A 22,244-nucleotide genomic window follows, 5' to 3' on the forward strand; every position below is an offset into this window, starting at 1 on the left:
CATATTTTCTTTCCTTTGGATAAATATATTCTTATATTTAAATCTTAAAAGTTCTTCCCTGGAATTTACATGTACCTTCAGTTACTAGCCTTTCTCTCTCCTTTCACAGCCTAATTCAAAGAATTGTCTGGATTTTCTCTCATTAGTGCTTCACCTACTGCAATCTCACTTCCACCCTTACCACTCGGGGGAAAATTGCTCTAATCAAGGAAGCCAATGTCCCATAATTGCTAAATACAATAAGTGCTTTTCATTTCTTAGCTTAACCTCTCAGCAGCACCTGATAAAGCTGCCTACTCCCTTTTTCTTGAAACACTTTCTTCCCTTGGTTTCCATGACAATGTACTCTTCTGGCTTTTTTTCCCCTACCTCTCTGGATGCTTTTTAGTTTTTCTCTACCCATCTCTTAAGTCTTCTCATACTATGCACCCTGTCAAAGGAAGAAGAGAGAAATTGCTCAGCAGTCTAACAATTCTCCTCAAAGTCATCCACACCCATCAGTGTTTCCCCTCTTCATCATTCATGTTTTCTCAAATATAAGCTAAATGTGGTTGACAGACCACTGATGGTGATTTGAGGCCACTTCCTAAAATTTCTGCAAAGACAGTCCAGTTCCACTCCAGAATGTGAGGTACCTTAGCATTTATACTTAGGGACTTGAGTTGAAATTGGGACAAGAGGAAAAAAAATTCATCGGTGTTCTGGTATATGTATGAATTTTTTAAAAAAACATTCCTATTTAAAGCCTTGGTTTAGAGCAAACTGTGCTTCTCTAAACTTCAAGTGCATCTCTCTATTCTCTGACATGTTAGACAGCTTGCTGAAATGAAGTTTCCATTAATGTCCTAATTTTTTTTTTTTTCGAGAAGGAGTCTTGCTCTGTCACCCAGGCTGGAGTGCAGTGGCACGATCTCAGCTCACTGCAACCTCCACCTCCCAGGTTCAAGCAATTCTCCTGCCTCTGCCTCCCAAGTAGCTGGGATTACAGGTGCCCACTAGGGCTACCATGCCCGGCTAATTTTTGCATTTTTTAGTAGAGATGGGGTTTCACCATGTTGGCCAGGCTGGTGTTGAACTCCTGACCTTGTGATGCACCCACCTCGCCCTCCCAAAGTACTGGGATTACAGGCATGAGCCACTGCTCCCAGCCTAATGTCCTAATTGTTATATTCTTCTTGATGGAGGCACTCTGCAGCACTCCCACTCTGCAGCACTCCCATTCTCCAGCTCGAGCCCAGGGAAGCCATCCCTAACTATATCTCATAGAGGCCTTTGGGGAAGGCAGCCAGTGGACCCAGGGAGGGGTCACAGGGTGAAAGAAGCTCCCAACTGAATTTTGTGACAGGATTTTGAGTGGGCATGAACTCCCTTGATCAGAATCTGGGGGGCAAGTGGGAAGTGTGCTGCAGACACAAGCACAGGAGCTAGGCACCTGGCATTGTGGGCAGATGGGAGGGATGAAGCCTAAAAGCCCTGCTTGCTTTCTCAGTGCAGAAGCTTATAGCCTGGGGCAGGTCTGAGTTCTATGTGCAGGCTGCCTGGATCTAAACCCAGCACTGTTAGCAGGGCATTGCAGGATTGAGACCAGCCTCGCCAACTGCATGGGAGCTGGGTGAGGCCTATCATTCACCCAGCTATTCTCCACTCCCCTTGTAAACTCTACTGTATACCAGAGTCAATTGTACTCCCCTATGGAACATTATCCCGATGGCCTGAGAACCACCCCCCATCCCCACAGTGGCTGTGGCAAGCCCTGCCCAAGGAGAGTCTGAGCTCAGACCTGCCTAACCCTGCCCTCACCTGATGGTATTTCTCTACCTGCCCTGAGAGCTTAACACAAAGGACATAAACTCTTGGGAGCCCATTGCCTGAGAAACCAGAATACTTCCCCTGGCCAACTTAGGGCAAGCTCACATCCCACTGTTACTGCCACAGCTGGTGCTCTCTTGCAAGCGCCACCTCCTGGCTGGAGGCCAACCAAGTCAGGGCATTACAGCAACTCTTGGCAGCCCTCTGGGTTCAAGCAATTCTCTTGCCTCAGACTCCTGAGTAACTGGGATTACAGGCATGCACCACCACACCTGGCAAATTTTTTATTTTTAGTAGAGATGGGGTTATACCATGTTGGCCAGGCTGGTCTCAAACTCCTGACCTCAAGTAATCCACCCGCCTCAGCCTCCCAAAGTGCTGGGATTACGGGCTACTTAAAGAAATTTAAAAAATAGTCCAGGATATGGATGAAAAATTTTCCAGAGAAATAGATATCATAGAGAAAAAAACATTCAGAACATCTGGAAATGAAAGACACACTTAGCAAAATACAAAATGGAGTGGAAAGTTTCTACAATAGACTAGAACAAGTAGAAGAAAGAATTTCAGAGCTGGAAGAAAAGGCTTTTGAATTAACCCAATCAGACAAAGACAAAGAAAAAAGAAAAGAAAAAAAAAAGAACAAAGTCTCCAAGAAATATGGGATTAAGTAAAATGTCCAAACCTAAGAATATTTGGTGTTCCAGAGGAAGAAGAGAAACCTATAAGTTTGGAAAACCTATTTGAGGGAATAACTGAGAAAAACTTCCCTGGCTTTGCTAGGAATCTAGACATCCAGCTATAAGAAGCTCTCCTGGAAAAGTCATCACCAGAAGACCATCACCAAGGAACATAGTCATCAGGTTATCTAAAGTCAAGATGAAGGAAAGAATCTAAAGAGCTATGAGACAAAAGCATCAGGTAACGTATAAAGGAAAACTTATCAGATTAACAGCAGATTCCTCAGCAGAAACCTTACAAGTTAGAAGGGATTGGGATCCTATCTTTAACTTCCTGAAACAAAATAATTGTCATCCAAGAATTTTGTATCCAGCAAAACTAAGCTTCGTAAATGAAGGAGAGATAAAGTCTTTTGCAAACAAACAAATGCTTAGAGAATTTGCCACTACCAAACCGGCACTACAAGAAATGCTAAAAGGGCTTCTAAGTCTTGAAACAAAACCTGAAAATACAGTAAAATCAAGCATTCTGAAAGCATGAGTCTCACAGGGCCTATAAAATAATAACACAATGATAAAAAACAAGGTATTTAGGCAACAACTAACATGATGAATAGAACAGTACCTCACATCTCAATACTAACATTGAATGTAAATGACCTAAATGCTCCACCTAAAAGATACAGAATGGGTCAGGGGCATGGTGGCTCAAGCCTGTAATCCCAGCACTTTGGGAGGCCAAGGTGGGCGGATCACGAAGTCAGGAGATTGAGACCATCCTAGCTAACATGGTGAAACCCCATCTCTACTAAAAACACAAAAAATTAGCCAGGCGTGGTGGCATGTGCCTGTATTCCCAGCTACTTGGGAGGCTGAGGCAGGAGAATCGCTTCAACCCAGGAGGCAGAGGCGGAGGTTGTAGTTAGCTGAGATCGCGCCACTGCACCCCAGCCTGGGCGACAGAGTGAGACTCCATCTCAAAAAAAAAAAAAAGATACAGAATGGCAGAATGGATTTAAAAAAACCTACCAACCAAGTGTCTGCTGTCTTCATGAGACTTACCTAACACATAAGACCTCACATAGACTTAAGGTAAAGGGGTGGAAAAAGATATTCCACACAAATGGAAACCAAAAGCGAGCAGCAGTAGTTATTCTTAGATAAAGCAGACTTTAAACCAACAACTGTAAAAACAGACAAAGAAGGACATTATATAGTGATAGAAGGATTAGTCCAACAGGAAGATATTACATATGCACCTAACACTGGAGCTCCCAAATTTATAAAATAATTACTACGAGACCTAAGAAATGAGATGGATAGGAACAAAATAATAGTGCGGGACTTCAGTACTCCACTGACAGCAGTAGGCAGATCATCAAGACAGAAAGTCAACAGAGAAAAAATAGACTTAAACTACACCCTAGAACAAATGGACCTAACAGATATTTATAGAAAATTCTACCCAATAACTGCAGAATATTCATTATTCTCATCAGCATGTGGAATATTCTCCAAGATAGACCATATGATAGGCCACAAAACAAGTCTTAATACATTTAAGAAAGTCAAAATCATATCAAGGACCTTCTCAGACCACAATGGAATAAAATTGGAAGTTAACTCCAAAAGGAATCCTCAGAACTATACAAATACATGGAAAGTAAATAATCTGCCCTTGAATGATCTTTGGATTAATAATGAAATCAAGATGGAAATTAAACAATTCTTTGAAATGAATGATAATAGTGACACAACTTATCAAAACCTCTGGGATACAGCAAAAGCAGTGCTAAGAGGAAAGTTCATAGCATTAAACATCTACATCAAAAAGTCTGAAAGAGCGCAAATAGACGACCCAATGTCACATCTCAAAGAACTAGAGAAACAAGAACAAACTAAATACAAGCCCAGCAGAAGAAAAGAAATAACAAAGATCATAGCAGACTGAAATAAAATTGAAACAAAAAGAACTACAAACAATAAATGAACCAAAAGTTGGTTCTTTGAAAAGAGCAACAAAATTGATGGCCCGTTAGTGAGACTAACTGAGAAAAGAAGAGAGAAGATCCAATCTAGTTCAATTAGAAATGAAATAGGGCCAGGCGCGGTGGCTCACGCTTGTAATCCCAGCACTTTGGGAGGCCGAGGTGGGCAGATTGCTTGAGGCCAGGAAGTTGAGACCAGCCTGGCCAACATGGCAAAATGCTGTTTCTACTAAAAGTACAAAAATTAGCTGGGCATGGTGGTGCGCACCTATAATCCCAGCTAGTCAGGAGGCTGACGTATGAGAATTGCTTGGGCCTGGGAGGTGGAGGTTGCAGTAAGCCGAGATCGCACCACTGCACTCCAGCCTGGATGACAGAGTGAGACTCAGTCTCAAACAAAAAAAAAGAGAGAGAGAGAGAAACTGGAAATATTACAGCCAATACCACAGAAATACAAAAGATCATTCAAGACTACTATGAACACCTTTATGTACACAAACTAGGAATCTAGAGGAGATGGATAAATTCCTGAAAATATACAACCCTTCTAGATTAAATCAGGAAAAAAATGGAAACTCTAAACAGACCAATAGCAAGCAATGAGATTGAATCAGTAATTTAAAAAATTACCAACAAAAAAAGTACAGTACCAGATGGATTCACTGCTGAATTCTACCAGACATCTAAAAAAGAATTCGTGACAATCCTGAAACTATTCCAAAAGATAGAGAAAGAGGGAATCCTTCCTAAATCATTCTATGAAGCCAATATCATCCTAATACCAAAGCCAGAAAAGGACATAACAAAAAAAGAAAACTACAGACCAATATCTGTGATGAACATAGATGCAAAAATCCTCAACAAAATACTAGCTAACCAAATTCAAAAGCCCTTCAAAAACATAATCCACCATGATCAAGTGGGTTTCATATGGGTTTACAGGGATGGTTTAACATATGCAAGTCAGTAAATGTGATATATCACATAAACACAATTAAAAACAAAAATCATGTGATCATCTCAATAGATACAGGAAAGCATTTGACAAAATCTGGCATCCCTTTTTTATAAAAACCTTCAGCAAAATTGCCATAGAAGGGACATAGCTGAAGGTAATAAAAGCCATATGTGACAACCCACAGCCAATATTATACTGAATGGGGAAAAGTTGAAAGCATTCCCCTTGAGAACTGGAACAAGACAAGGATGCCCACTTTCACCACTTCCATTCAACATAGTACTGGAAGTCCTAGCCATAGCAGTTAGATAAGAGAAGGAAATAAAGGACATCCAAATCGGTAAAGAGGAAGTCAAAATGTAGGTGTTTGCTGATGACATGATCGTATATCTAGAAAACCCTAAAGACTCATTCAAAAAGCTCCTAGAACTGGTAAATGAATTCAGCGATATTTCAGGATACAAAATTAATGTACACAAATCACTAATCCTACTATACACCAACAATGACCAAGCTGAGAATCAAATCAAGAACTCAACCTCTTTTACAATAGCTGTAAAAGACAAACAAACAAACAAAAACTTAGGAATATACCTAATCAAGGAGGTGAAAGATCTCTACAAGGAAAACTACAAAACACTGCGGAAAGAAATCATAGATGGCACAAATGGAAACACATCCCATGTTCATGGATGGGTAGAATTAATATTGTGAAAATGACCATACTGCCAAAAGCAATCTACAGATTTAATGCAATTCCCATCAAAATACTATCATCCTACTTCACAGAACTAGAAGAAACACACCTAAAATTCATATGGAACCAAAAAAGAGCCCACCTAGCCAAAGGAAGGCTAAGCTAAAAGAACAAATCATGTATGTAGACCAATGGAACAGAATAGAGAACCCAGAAATAAAGCCAAATACTAATAGCCAACTGATCTTTGACAAAGCTTACAAAAAGATAAAGTGGGGAAAGGATACCCTATTCAATAAAAGGTGCTAGGAAAACTGGCAAGCCACATGTAGAAGAAAGAAACTGGATCCTCATCTCTCACCTTATACAAAAATCAACTCAGGGTGGATCAAAGACTTAAATGTAAGACCTGAAACCATAAAAATTCTAGAAGATAACATTGGAAAAACTCTTTTAGACATTGGCATAGACAAAGAATTCATGACTAAGAACTCAAAAGCAAATGCAACAAAAACAAAAATAAATGGGACCTAATTAAACCAAAAAGATTCTGCATAGCAAAAGAAGTATTCAGTGTTGTAAACAGACAACCCACAGAATGAGAGAAAATATTTGTAAACTATGCATCTGACAAAGGATTAATATCCAGAATCTACAAGGAACTCAAACAAATCAACAAGAAAAAATACTCCCATCAAAAAGTGGGCAAAGAATATGAATAGACAATTGTCAAAAGAAGATACACAAACAGCCAACAAACATATGAAAAAATGCTCAACATCACTAATTATGAGGAAAATGCAAGTTAAAACCACAATGAGCTACCACCTTATTCCTGCAAGAATGTCCATAAATAAAAAATTTAAAAAAAAACAGATGTTGGAGGGGGGTGTGGTGAGAGGGAACACTTTTATGCTGCTGGTGGGAATGTAAACTAGTTCAACCACTATGAAAAACAGTATGGAGATCCCTTAAAGAACAAAAAGTAGAACTACCATCCAATCTAGCAATCCCACTACTGGGTATCTACCCAAAGGAAAAGAATTCATTTTATTAAAAAGACACATGCACACACATGTTTACAGCAGCACAATTCACAATTGCAAAAATATGGAACCAACCTAAATGCCCATCAACCAACAAGTAGATAAAGAAAATGTGGGTGGAGCCAAGATGGCCGAATAGGAACAGCTCCAGTCTACAGCTCCTAGCGTGAGCGACGCAGAAGATGGGTGATTTCTGCATTTCCAACTGAGGTACTGGGTTCATCTCACTGGGGAATGCCGGACAGTGGGTGAAGGACAGTGGGTGCAGTGCACCGTGCGTGAGCCAAAGCAGGGCGAGGCATCGCCTCACCCGGGAAGTGCAAGGGGTCAGGGAATTCCCTTTCCTAGTCAAAGAAAGGGGTGACAGATGGCACCTGGAAAATCGGGTCACTCCCACCCTAATACTGCGCTCTTCCAATGGTCTTAGCAAACGGCACACCAGGAGATTATATCCCGCGCCTAGCTCGGAGGGTCCTACGCCCACGGAGCCTCACTCATTACTAGCGCAGCAGTCTGAGATCAAACTGCAAGGTGGCAGTGAGGCTGGGGGAGGGGCACCTGCCACTGCTCAGGCTTGAGTAGGTAAACAAAGCGGCAGGAAGCTCAAACTGGGTGGAGCCCACCACAGCTCAAGGAGGCCTGCCTGCCTCTGTAGGCTCCACCTCTGGGGGCAGGGCACAGACAAACAAGAGACAGCAATAACCTCTGTAGTCTTAAATGTCCCTGTCTGACAGCTTTGAAGAGAGTAGTGGTTCTCCCAGCATGCAGCTTGAGATCTGAGAACGGGCAGACTGCCTCCTCAAGTGGGTCCCTGACCCCTGAGTAGCCTAACTGGGAGGCACCCCCGAGTAGGGGCGGACTGACACCTCACACGGCTGGGTACTCCTCTGAGACAAAACTTCCAGAGGAACGAACAGGCAGCAGCATTTGCGGTTCACCAATATCTGCTGTTCTGTAGCCCCCGCTGCTGATACCCAGGCAAACAGGGTCTGGAGTGGACTTCCAGTAAACTCCAACAGACCTGCAGCTGAGGATCCTGACTGTTAGAAGGAAAACTAACAAACAGAAAGGACATCTACACCAAAAACCCATCTGTACGTCACCATCATCAAAGACCAAAGGTAGATAAAACCACAAAGATGGGGAAAAAACAGAGCAGAAAACCTGGAAACTCTAAAAATCAGAGCGCCTCTCCTCCTCCAAAGGAACGCAGCTCCTCACCAGCAACGGAACAAAGCTGGATGGAGAATGACTTTGACGAGTTGAGAGAGGAAGGCTTCAGAAGATCAAACCACTCCAAGCTAAAGGAGGAAGTTTGAACCAATGGCAAAGAAGTTAAAAACTTTGAAAAAAATTAGACGAATGGATAACTAGAATAACCAATGCAGAGAAGTCCTTAAAGGACCTAATGGAGCTGAAAACCACGGCACAAGAACTACGTGACAAATGCACAAGCCTCAGTAACCGATGCGATCAACTGGAAGAAAGGGTATCAGCGATGGAAGACGAAATGAATAAAATGAACTGTGAAGAGAAGTTTAGAGAAAAAAGAATAAAAAGAAATGAACAAAGCCTCCAAGAAATATGGGACTAGTGAAAAGACCAAATCTGCGTCTAATTGGTGTACCTGAAAGTGACAGGGAGAATGGAACCAAGTTGGAAAACACTCTGCAGGATATTATCCAGGAGAACTTCCCCAATCTAGCAAGGCAGGCCAACATTCAAATTCAGGAAATACAGAGAACACCACAAAGATACTCCTCGAGAAGAGCAACTCCAAGACACATAATTGTCAGATTCACCAAAGTTGAAATGAAGGAAAAAATGTTAAGCGCAGCCAGAGAGAAAGGTCGGGTTACCCACAAAGGGAAGCCCATCAGACTAACAGCTGATCTCTCAGCAGAAACTCTACAAGCCAGAAGAGAGTGGGGGCCAATATTCAACATTCTTAAAGAAAAGAATTTTCAACCCAGAATTTCATATCCAGCCAAACTAAGCTTCATAAGTGAAGGAAAAATAAAATACTTCACAGACAAGCAAATGCTGAGAGATTTTGTCACCACCAGGCCTGCCCTAAAAGAGTTCCTGAAGGAAGCACTAAACATGGAAAGGAACAACCGGTACCAGCCACTGCAAAAACATGCCAAATTGTAAAGACCATTGAGGCTAGGAAGAAACTGCATCAACTAACGAGCAAAATAACCAGCTAACATCATAATGACAGGATCAAATTCACACATAACAATACTAACCTTAAATGTAAATGGGCTAAATGCTCCAATTAAAAGGCACAGACTGGCAAATTGGATAAAGAGTCAAGACCCATCAGTGTGCTGTATTCAGGAGACCCATCTCACATGCAGAGACACATATAGGCTCAAAATAAAGGGATGCAGGAAGATCCACCAAGCAAATAGAAAACAAAAAAAGGCAGGGGTTGCAATCCTAGTCTCTGATAAAACAGACTCTAAACCAACAAAGATCAAAAGAGACAAAGAAGGCCATTACATAATGGTAAAGGGATCGATTCAACAAGAAGAACTAACTATCCTAAATATATATGCACCCAATACAGGAGCACCCAGATTCATAAAGCAAGTCCTTAGTGACCTACAAAGAGACTTAGACTCCCACACAATAATAATGGGAGACTAACACCCCACTGTCAACATTAGACAGATCAATGAGACAGAAAGTTAACAAGGATATCCAGGAATTGAACTCAGCTCTGCATCAAGCAGACCTAATAGACATCTACAGAACTCTCCACCCCAAATCAACAGAATATACATTCTTTTCAGCACCACACCACATCTATTCCAAAATTGACCACATAGTTGGAAGTAAAACACTCCTCAGCAAATGTAAAAGAACAGAAATTATAACAAACGGTCTCTCGGACCACAGTGCAATCAAACTAGAACTCAGGATTAAGAAACTCACTCAAAACCGCTCAACTACATGGAAACTGAACAACCTGCTCCTAAATGACTACTGGGTACATAACGAAATGAAGGTAGAAATAAAGATGTTCTTTGAAACCAATGAGAACAAAGACACAACATATCAAAATCTCTGGGACACATTCAAAGCAGTGTGTAGAGGGAAATTTATAGCACTAAATGCCCACAAGAGAAAGCAGGAAAGATCTAAAATTGACACCCTAACATCACAATTAAAAGAACTAGAGAAGCAAGAGCAAACACATTCAAAAGCTAGCAGAAGGCAAGAAATAACTAAGATTAGAGCAGAGCTGAAGGAAATAGAGACACAAAAAACCCTTCAAAAAATCAATGAATCCAGGAGCTGGTTTTTTGAAAAGATCAACAAAATTGATAGACCACTAGCAAGACCAATAAAGAAGAAAAGAGAGAAGAATCAAATAAACGCAATAAAAAATGACAAAGGGGATATCACCACCGATCCCACAAAAATACAAACTACCATCAGAGAATACTATAAACACCTCTACGCAAATAAACTAGAAAATCTAGAAGAAATGGATAAATTCCTCGACACATACACTCTCCCAAGACTAAGCCAGGAAGAAGTTGAATCTCTGAATAGACCAATAACAGGCTCTGAAATTGAGGCAATAATTAATAGCTTACCAACCAAAAAAAGTCCAGGATCAGATGGATTCACAGCCGAATTCTACCAGAGGGACAAGGAGGAGCTGGTACCATTCCTTCTGAAACTATTCCAATCAATAGAAAAAGAGGGAATCCTCCCTAACTCATTTTATGAGGCCAGCATCATCCTGATACCAAAGCCTGGCAGAGACACAACAAAAAAAGAGAATTTTAGACCAATATCCTTGATGAACATTGATGCAAAAATCCTCAATAAAACACTGGCAAACTGAATCCAGCAACACATCAAAAAGCTTATCCACCATGATCAAGTGGGCTTCATCCCTGGGATGCAAGGCTGGTTCAACATATGCAAATCAATAAACGTAATCCAGCATACAAACAGAACCAAAGACAAAAACCACATGATTATCTCAATAGATGCAGAAAAGGCCTTTGACAAAATTCAACAGCCCTTCATGCTAAAAACTCTCAATAAATTAGGTATTGATGGAACATATCTCAAAATAATAAGAGCTATCTATGACAAACCCATAGCCAATATCATACTGAATGGACAAAAACTGGAAGCACTCCCTTTGAAAACTGGCAAAAGACAGGGATGCCCTCTCTCACCACTCCTATTCAACATAATGTTGGAAGTTCTGGCCAGGGCAATCAGGCAGGAGAAGGAAATAAAGGGCATTCAATTAGGAAAAGAGGAAGTCAAATTGTCCCTCTTTGCAGATGACACGATTGTATATCTAGAACCCCATCATCTCAGCCCAAAATCTCCTTAAGCTGATAAGCAACTTCAGCAAAGTCTCAGGATACAAAATCAATGTGCAAAAATCACAGGCATTCTTATACACCAATAACAGACAAATAGAGAGCCAAATCATGAGTGAACTCCCATTCACAATTGCTTCAAAGAGAATAAAATACCTAGGAATCCAACTTACAAGGGATGTGAAGGACCTCTTCAAGGAGAAATACAAACCACTGCTCAATGAAATAAAAGAGGATACAAACAAATGGAAGAACATTCCATGCTCATGGGTAGGAAGAATCAATATCGTGAAAATGGCCATACTGCCCAAGGTAATTTATAGATTCAATGCCATCCCCATCAAGCTACCAATGACTTTCTTCAAAGAATTGGAAAAAACTACTTTAAAGTTCATATGGAACCAAAAAAAAGCCCGCATTGCCAAGTCAATCCTAAGCCAAAAGAACAAAGCTGGAGGCATCACGCTACCTGACTTCAAACTATACGACAAGGCTACAGTAACCAAAACAGAGATACTGGTACCAAAACAGAGATACAGACCAATGGAACAGAACAGAGCCCTCAGAAATAATGCCACATATCTACAACTATCTGATCTTTGACAAACCTCACAAAAACAAGCAATGGGGAAAGGATTCCCTATTTAATAAATGGTGCTTGGAAAACTGGCTAGCCATATATAGAAAGCTGAAACTGGATCCCTTCCTTACACCTTATACAAAAATTAATTCAAGATGGATTAAAGACTTACATGTTAGACCTAAAACCATAAAAACCCTAGAAGAAAACCTAGGCAATACCATTCAGGACACAGGCATGGGCAAGGACTTCATATCTAAAACACCAAAAGCAATGGCAACAAAAGCCAAAATTGACAAATGGGATCTAATTAAACTAAAGAGCTTCTGCACAGCAAAAGAAACTACCATCAGAGTGAACAGGCAACCTACAGAATGGGAGAAAATTTTTGCAACCTACTCATTGGACAAAGGGCTAATATCCAGAATCTATAATGAACTCAAACAAATTTACAAGAAAACAAACAAACCCATCAAAAAGTGGGCGAAGGATATGAACAGACACTTCTCTAAAGAAGACGTTTATGCAGCCTAAAAACACATGAAAAAATGCTCACCATCACTGGCCATCAGAGAAATGCAAATCAAAACCACAATGAGATACCATCTCACACCAGTTAGAATGGCAATCATTAAAAAATCAGGAAACAACAGGTGCTGGAGAGGATGTGGAGAAATAGGAACACTTTTACACTGTTGGTGAGACTGTAAACTAGTTCAACCATTGTGGAAGTCAGTGTGGCGATTCCTCAGGGATCTAGAACTAGAAATATCATTTGACCCAGCCATCTCATTACTGGGTATATACCCAAAGGATTATAAATCATGCTGCTATAAAGACACATGCACACGTATGTTTATTGCGGCAGTATTCACAATAGCAAAGACTTGGAACCAACCCAAATGTCCAACAATGATAGACTGGATTAAGAAAATGTGGCACATATACACCATGGAATACTATGCAGCCATAAAAAATGATGAGTTCATGTCCTTTGTAGGGACATGGATGAAGCTGGAAACCATCATTCTCAGCAAACTATCGCAAGGACAAAAAAACCAAACACCGCGTGTTCTCACTCATAGGTGGGAATTGAACAATGAGAACACATGGACACAGGAAGGGGAACATCACACACTGGGGCCTGTTGTGGGGTGGGGGGAGGGGGGAGGGATAGCATTAGGAGATATACCTAATGCTAAACGACGAATTAATGGGTGCAGCACACCAACATGGCACATGTATACATATGTAACAAACTTGCACGTTGTGCACATGTATCCTAAAACTTAAAGTATAATAATAATAATTTTAAAAAAAGAAAATGTGGTATATAGACAATATGGAATACTACTCAGCCATAAAATGGAACGGAATAATGGCCTTTGCAGCAACTTGGATGGAGCTGGAGGACATTATTCTCAGTGAAGTAACTCAGGAATGAAAAACCAATCATCATATGTTCTCATTTATAAGTGGGAGCTAAGCTATGAGGATGCAAAGGCATAAGTATGATATAATGGACTTTGGGGACTTGCAGGGAAGAGTTGGAGGGGGTTAGGGATGAAAGACTACATATTGGGTACAGTGTACACTGCTCGGGTGTACCTGATGCACCAAAATCTCAGAAATCACCACTAAAGAACTTATCCACATAACAAAAAACCACGTGTACCCCAAAAACTATTGAAATAAAATAAAAATTCAAACAAAGGGACCTAGATAAGCTACAATGCCTATCCTTAGAACCGTGCAGGTATTTTGGCGAGAATGAGGCCTGGAGTGGTCTCAGAATTTTGTGGAAGGTTCTGAGAGATGTCCAGGGTGGTGTGTGCCTGTTCTCCTAGCAGCAGACCTAATGGCTAAATGTGGACTTGTAGCAGCTGACAGCAGCCTTGCGCTTACACATTTAGTACTTGAAAACCTCCCTTTTGACTGCATCATGGGAATCAAAGAATAAGTCATATAAGAAAAATCTATGAAGTCAGCAGCTGAAAGATTGAGTGGAAACATGTTTGCAAAGCCACTTTGCACAGAAGCTTGCAAAAAGAAGGGAGTCGGGATGTGTAGGAAATATGACAACTGAATATTTATGAGTGAAAATAAGAGCTAATGTAAATATTTAATGCATAATATTTAAATTATTGCCCACTTCAAAACTAAAATCATAGTAAAATACCAGACACTTTAGCAGGATTAACGTCTGCTTCATCCTGCTTCACATATAATTTTCACAGTAGTAGTTTAAGAAATTTTAGCTTAGGCTGGGCGTGGCGGCTCACACCTGTAATCCTGGCACTTTGGGAGGCCAAGGAGGGCAGATCACGAGCTCAGAAGATCGAGACCATCCTGGCTAACGCGGTGAAACCCTGTTTCTACTAAAAAATACAAAAAATTAGCCGGGCACGGTGGCAGTTGCCTGTGATCCCAGCTACTCGGGTGGCTGAGGCAGGAGAATCGCTTGCACCTGGGAGGCGGAGGTGGCAGTAAGCCAAGATGATGCCACTGCACTCCAGCCTGGGCGACAGAGCAAGAGTCTCAAAAAAAAAAAAAAAAAAAAAAAGAAAAAGAAATTTTAGCTTAGTTTGTGAATATTGCAATCAGTCTTAAAGCTATGAACATTGTGTCCAACATGACACTGATTTGCCCATTTCCAATAATTTGTATTTACCTGGTCTCTCCTTTTAGAGGAGGAGTCACACCTGCATAACTCATTAGACTATGATTGGATGGCAGCTGTACACGGTGGCTGAAGCATTAGTGTCTTTCAGTATGGTAGGGTCCCCTTTAGGGTGTTCAGCTTCTGCTGCTCAGCAGCAAATGTGTGACCAATTCAGTATGTGTTGGGTTCTCGACTTAATAGGGTGCTTAATTACTAACTTACATAAGCAAGTACAAGTACGTTTGTATGTATGCACATATTTAAGTAAGGTTTTCTGATGTTATTAGACACCAAAAACATATAAAATATACTTTATTAATAATTGTCAGAAATGTGCTATTAACACACATAGATGAGTTTGTGAATACTGCAAAAAGATTTAGCACTTTGAGAGTTGTCCAGGTAAGATTTTCCAAGAGGAAGGCCAAGCAGATACTTAGGGCATCTGCAAAGCAGCAATTTTGTGAAGAAGATTCCAAATATAGGCCAGGCGTGGTGGCTCACACCTGTAATCCCAGCACTTTGGGAGGCCAAGGTGGGTGGATCATCTGAGGTCAGGAGTTCGAGACCAGCCTGACCAACAAGGTGAAACCCTGTCTCTACTAAATACAAAAAATTAGCCAGGCATGGTGGAGCATGCCTGTAATCCCAGCTACTTGGGAGGCCGAGGGAGGAGAATCGCTTGAACCTGGGAGGTGGAGGTTGCAGTAAGCTGAGATTGCACCATTGCACTTTAGCCTGGGTGGCAGAGCAAAACTCTGTCTAAAAAAAAAAGATTCCATAATATTATTTGTTAATTGATGATTTATAAAAACCCAAAAAACCATTGAAGAAGTCATCATGGCTTCTGGATCTCAGCTTGGCAACAGCAGCAATGGAACCCATGGGAAAATAGAAAGCTGGTTCCCCCAAATTCCATCCCTGGAGATATACTCTCTGTGGTGTAAATTGTGGCTGAGTTCTTTGAGTATATTTTGTCAATTGTGGAATACTGGTATAGGTTCGTTATCTTTCTATTGCTTGTCTAGTGTAGTTCATTCATACTTCTATCCCGGTGCCTCACCCACTGTCTAGCACAGGGTAAGTACTCACTAATTGTATTCAATGTTCAACTCCACAATTGCTGGCTTGCCCATTTCTCACTGAAGTGGGATACAGCCTGGATCCCAACTGCAATTTGGTTTCATTTGTTCAGAGAAAAATAAACTTCCTTGAGACTTTTTCAGCCTAACAGTGGTAAACAATCACTCAAGTTGGCAGAAGAGGAGGCCTACTTAATCACTGTACAAAGGTGGTTTTCAGTCCAGTTGCTGGGTATACAGTCCTGCCAGATTTAGTGACAAGCAGGCCTGAGCTGACCAAGTCACTGGCTACATCTCCAGCGGTTCAGTAGGTGGCACTGCTGTTCTCTCTGTGCAGAAGCTGGCAGCCGCACGGAGGCTGTATGTTTGGGCAAGCAGGAATGCAAATCATCAGCTCAAAGCAGCCTTTCTGGGCAAGCAGCAACACAAACCCATTATCAGTGCGGTGGCAGCTGCTGCTGTTTGTCCCTGCTTGCAGGCAGTTTCAGAGTGAGGGCCTTTGGAATGTGACCATGAGACTGGAGACGTCAGGAAGCGAAGCCACTGGGCTAAAATAAGCAGGTTAGGAGTCAGTTATCTGGTTCCCCACAGATGTGTCTGGGAGCAGCTGGGAGGCTGAGACGGCAGGCAGGCCTTTCCTTCTTATAACTCTGGGCTGGAAAATCTCATCAATATGGAAAACTCTCTAAAGACCCATCTTGAAACCAAGTCAGCAAAAATCTAGAGTATCTTGAACTGGTGGCAGAATTATATTTGTTATACCTATGAGCTGGCTTTTCCTGGTCAGTCTTGATTTCTAATGTTCTGTTTTCTTGCTGATATAAGAGTATTAGGCTTTGTCCAACTGCATTTTCACTTGCGGTTTAGAAAATATGGTCACCGTAATTACCCTTCATTTCCTGACAGCTGAATCTCAACTGATATTATGGACTGACTGTGTCCCCCTCAAATTCATATGTTGAAATCCTTACTCTCAAACTGATGGTATTAGGAAGTGGGGCCTTTGGGTGATAATTAGATCATGGGGGTGGACCCCTCATGAATGGGATTAGTGCCCTTATAGAAGAGACCTCAGAGAGATCTTTTGCCCCTTCTGCCATGTGAAGTCACCATGAGAAGATGGCTGTCTATGAAGAAGCAGATCTCCCACACACTGAATCTGCTGGTACCTTGATACTGGACTTCTCAGCCTCTAGTACTGCAAGAAATAAATTTCTGTTGTTTGTAAGCCACCCCGTCTATGGTATTTTGTTATAGAAGCCTGAACAGACTATTTAATTTCTATTTAATTCAAACTTCTCACACAAAGTGATGGGAAACCACAAGTCACTGGGATTTGTTTTTTGCTAGTACTTTAGTTTATGGGGTGAATATCTGCCATTTTAGTGAATCCTTGTATACCATCCAAAGGGAGGCAGGAGTGAGGTAGCCATGAGTCTCTCAAATTTAAGTGGATACAAAGTAGCTCCTCGGAGAGCTGGATCCATATGTGTGTCATCATATCTGCGTCTGACAAATGCCTGGCATATGTGCTGCCCCTTCCCCTCCTTCTAGGGTTGGCGTTATTAACTTATTGTGGCACACTTTCCTTCCAGACCAGTTTTGGTCTCAGACAGATTCTTTGGCACATAGGATAAAACTTACTTGCCCAGTTTCAACCGTGGTTGACCTTTAATATTTGCATTATATCAGATAATGATAAAGGTCAAAATCTTAGCTAAAATAACAAACCTGGTCCTCCATAGCTGGCTCTTAAATAAAACAGAAACTCAGAGGAGCCGAAATCATAGAGCCCAAATACTAGAGCTCAAAGGAAATACGATGCATCTTCAGAATCTCAAGATAATGAAATTGATGCTCAAGAGACAAGCTGGATGGGAATTCTGCTTCTTGTAAGGGTAGAATCAGTTGTTGCAGGGTAACCCTGCATCCAAGAACTAGGAGAACTTGATAAAACAGGTAGAATGTCTGTTGGAAGGCACTGGAGAGCTAGCTAGGCAACAAAAACTTGAAATGGTCAAGAAAAGCAAAAAGAGAAATGAAGTAACATTGGGACTGGTTTTCCCCTTGAACGCTCTTGCAAATATGCAACCTGTGACTGAGAGGATGAGACGCTAAGCAAAGCATCCCACAGTTTCATGGGGCATCAGAAACAAAAATTGGATTTTAGAGCTAGTTAATGGTTTAGGGCCCTGGCAAACACTCCATGCTTTTAGTTGGGACCCTCAAACAATTACACTGCAGAAAATAAAGTTCCCTAAAAAGTCTGAAGCCCAACTTCAAATCACCTCAGTTTATGATTGGGTAAGATAATTGGTTCCATCTTAACTGCCTGCTGGAAGCTAAAATAAGTACTCTCTTCAGGAAGATAACACTTTCCAGAGATTTAAATCATCTCCATTTTTCTTTCTTTCTTTTTTTTTCTCCAGAAACTGCCCTGCATTCGAACAAAAAATATCTGGTATATCTCTAGGCAAAATTGCTGAAAACCAAGGTAAAAAACACTTAAGATATCCAGATATTGCAATGATCGGACGTGGAGTTTAAGATAATGATGATTTGTACATTCAATAAATTAAATGATGAGATAGAGCATTGTACAAGAAAACTGGAAACTATAAAAAAATAAGATACAATGTCTAAAACTGGAAAATATTATAGCTGAAATTAAGAACTCAATGGATTGGTATAACAGTGGCTTAGATATAATTGAAGAGAGAATGATCATAAACTGGATGATGAATCAGAAGATAGGAGTAAAGGATTAGATGGCGTTAAAATGTTCTAAGGCTTTGCTTTGGCCAGGAAGTGGCAAAATAATATTTTTCATTAGACTTTAATAAGTCAGAGATGAATGTTGAAATGCCTATGGTATCCACTAAAAGCTTAAGGAAAGATTGAATAACTAAAAATAGCTAACAGAGAGGGGAATATAATAAAAATATATAATCCAAAGTCCAAAAAAATTTAAAAAGAAAGGAATAAAAATAAACATAAAACAGATGGCACAAGTATAAAATAAATAGCAAGGTGGTGAGTTTAATTTTATACATATGAATCAAAATCTCTAATTAGAAGACAAAAATTGTCAGACTAGATAAAGCAAACAACATAAAACAAGACTCTATATTGTACAGAAGTACATATTGCAAATTCAAATAATTTGGGAAAATTGAAAATAAAAGTGTGGAGAAAGATACAGCATGAAAATATTAACCACAAGAAAGCTCATGTTTATATCAGCTTATATCATGTTTATATCATGTTTATATAAGCTCATACTTATATCACACAAAGTGGATTTTAAGGCAATAAGCAATACTACAGATAAAAATAGATATTTCATAATAAAGTGGCCAATCCAACATAAAGATATCGCTAGTATAAATTTTTATACACCTAATAATAAGACAATACCTGATAGAACAAAATGGAGACATATAAAAATCTACAATGGGCTGGGTGCAGTGGCTCACTTCTGTAATCCTAGCACTTTGGGAAGCCGAGGCAGGTGAATCACCTGAAGTCAGGAGTTTGAGACCAGCCTGGCCAACATGGCAAAACCTTGTCTCTACTAAAAATACAAAATTAGCCGGGCCTGGTGGCACACACCTGTAATCTCAGCTACTCCAGAGGCTGAGGCAGGAGAATCGCTTAGAACCCGGGAGGTGGAGATCGCAGTGAGCCGAGATTGCGCCACTGCACTCCAGCCTGGGTGACAAAGCAAGACTCTATCTCAAAACACAACAACAATAACAACAAAAACAAAAACTACACTGATAGTAAGAGCTTTAACTGATAGGACCAAATTTATTGGTCAATGGACCAAAAACTGGTCAATATTTTGGTCAATGGACCAAAAATAAATAAACAAATGAAGAATCAACAGGGTTAAAGAAGATTTGAACAACGGGATTAATAAAATGACCTAACTGATACATATAGAACACTGCCTGCACTCAACAACTGCAGGCGGAACATTTACCAAGATTGACTGTATGCAAAACTATGTAGTTTCAACATGTTTCGAATGATTTAAATCATATAGTATAGTCCATGACTGTAACACAATTAAACTATTAATTAAAAGATAAAAGTAGAAAATGTCTAATGTTTAGAAATGAATCAATACACTTTTAAACATATGTGAAAGACGAAATCACAGAGAAAATTTAAAAATATTTTGAATGGAGTGATAAGAAACATAGTAGATCAAAACTTGTGGGATGCAGTTAAAGCCATTCTTAGGTAGTCTTAAATGCATTTATTGGGATGGGGAAGGAAGAAAATTAATGATCTAAGACTCTAGCTCAAGAAATGAGAAAAAGAACAACAAATTAAGTATGAAGAAATTAACACAATGAATGAAATAGAAAACAAATGTACAATAGAGAAAATAAAATAGAGAAGAACAAAGGCCAATATTTGGTCTGTGAGGCAACCTACAAAATGGGAGAAAATTTTCGCAACCTACTCATCTGACAAAGGGCTAATATCCAGAATCTACAATGAACCCAAACAAATTTACAAGAAAAAAACAAACAACCCCATCAAAAAGTGGGCAAAGGACATGAACAGACACTTCTCAAAAGAAGACATTTATGCAGCCAAAAAACACATGAAAAAATGCTCACCATCACTGGCCATCAGAGAAATGCAAATCAAAACCACAATGAGATACCATTTCACACCAGTTAGAATGGCAATCATTAAAAAATCAGGAAACAACAGGTGCTGGAGAGGATGTGGAGAAATAGGAACACTTTTACACTGTTGGTGAGACTGTAAACTAGTTCAACCATTGTGGAAGTCAGTGTGGCGATTCCTCAGGGATCTAGAACTAGAAATACCATTTGACCCAGCCATCCCATTACTGGGTATCTACCCAAAGGACTATAAATCATGGTGCTATAAAGACACATGCACACGTATGTTTATTGCAGCACTATTCACAATAGCAAAGACTTGGAACCAACCCAAATGTCCAACAATGATAGACTGGATTAAGAAAATGTGGCACATATACACCATGGAATACTATGCAGCCATAAAAAATGATGAGTTCATGTCCTTTGTAGGGACATGGATGAAATTGGAAATCATCATTCTCGGTAAACTATCGCAAGAACAAAAAACCAAACACTGCATATTCTCACTCATAGGTGGGAATTGAACAATGAGAACACACAGACACAGGAAGGGGAACATCACACTCTGGGGACTATTGTGGGGTGGGGGGAGGGGGGGAGGGATAGCATTGGGAGATATACCTAATGCTAGATGACGAGTTAGTGGGTGCAGTGCACCAGCATGGCACATGTATATGTATGTAACTAACCTGCACATTGTGCACATGTACCCTAAAACTTAAAGTATAATAATAATTAATAAATAAATAAATATTTAAAACTTCAAAAAAAAATATTTGGTCTGTGAACATTGTAATTGATAGCGTTCTGATAAGACATAGGGAGAAGACAATTACTATCAGGAGTGGAAAATACTGCAGATATTACAAGATTTTTTAAATTAAGAGAATAAACAATTTGTGCCAATAAATATGAAAATTTAGATGCAATAGATTAATATCTTGAAAAATATAGCATACCACAACTGACAGGGAAAATGGAAAATATATTAAAGAAAATTAAATCCACAATTTAAATCCTTTCCACAAAAAACTCCAGATCTAGATAACTTAACCAAAGAATTCTTCTAAATATTTAAGAAAAAAAAGAACACTAATCATACACAAACTTTTCCCCCAAGATAGAAAAGTAAGGCATACTTCCCAACTTATAATGACAAGAACGTTGTAAAAAAAGAAAATTACAAAGAATCTCTCCCATGAACATAGATGCAAGAATCCTAAACAAAATACTAGCAAACCAAATCCAGTAATGTAAAAAGAATATTACTTCTTTACCAACCTGAATTTGTTCTAAAAATGTAAAGTTAGCTTGACATTTGAAAATCAATCACTGTAACCCACCTTGTTAACAGAAGAGAAAAATCATGATTATCTAAATAGACACAGAAAATGCATTTGACAAAATTCACACCTATTTATGACAAACACTCATAGCAAACTAGGAATAAAAGTGAATGTCCTTAATCTGATAGAAAATGTCTACAGATGCCATAGAGTAAACATTCTATTTAATAGCAAAATATGTAAGCTTTCCCTTGAGATCAGGAATAAGCTAAGAAGCCCAGTATCACCATAAACATTCAAATTCTACAAGAAGTTCTTCCAAGTACAATAATGCAAGAAAAATTAATAAAAGAGATAATGAGTGGAAAGGGAGAAAAAAATGCCATTATTTCTAGATGACATGATTGTGTGTTTAGAATATCCAAAAACATCTGCAAATAGCCTAT

At 39.8% G+C, this 22,244-nt stretch overlaps 1 protein-coding gene across 5 annotated transcripts in view; it reads right to left on the minus strand.

Moving 5' to 3' along the window:
- TXLNB (taxilin beta) overlaps window positions 1–22,244 on the minus strand; it is a 164,789-nt gene that overhangs the window by 44,044 nt on the left and 98,501 nt on the right. The window contains exon 12 of one of the 5 annotated variants that reach the window (XR_007059218.1): window positions 370–430. The exons of the other annotated variants lie outside the window; for them this stretch is intronic. The gene's annotated coding sequence lies outside the window, so the exon portion shown is untranslated. The remainder of the gene's footprint in view (window positions 1–369; window positions 431–22,244) is intronic. 5 annotated transcript variants of the gene reach the window in all.

Source organism: Homo sapiens, chromosome 6 (assembly GCF_000001405.40).
Source record: "Homo sapiens chromosome 6, GRCh38.p14 Primary Assembly".
Classification (NCBI taxonomy): Eukaryota; Metazoa; Chordata; class Mammalia; order Primates; family Hominidae; genus Homo; species Homo sapiens.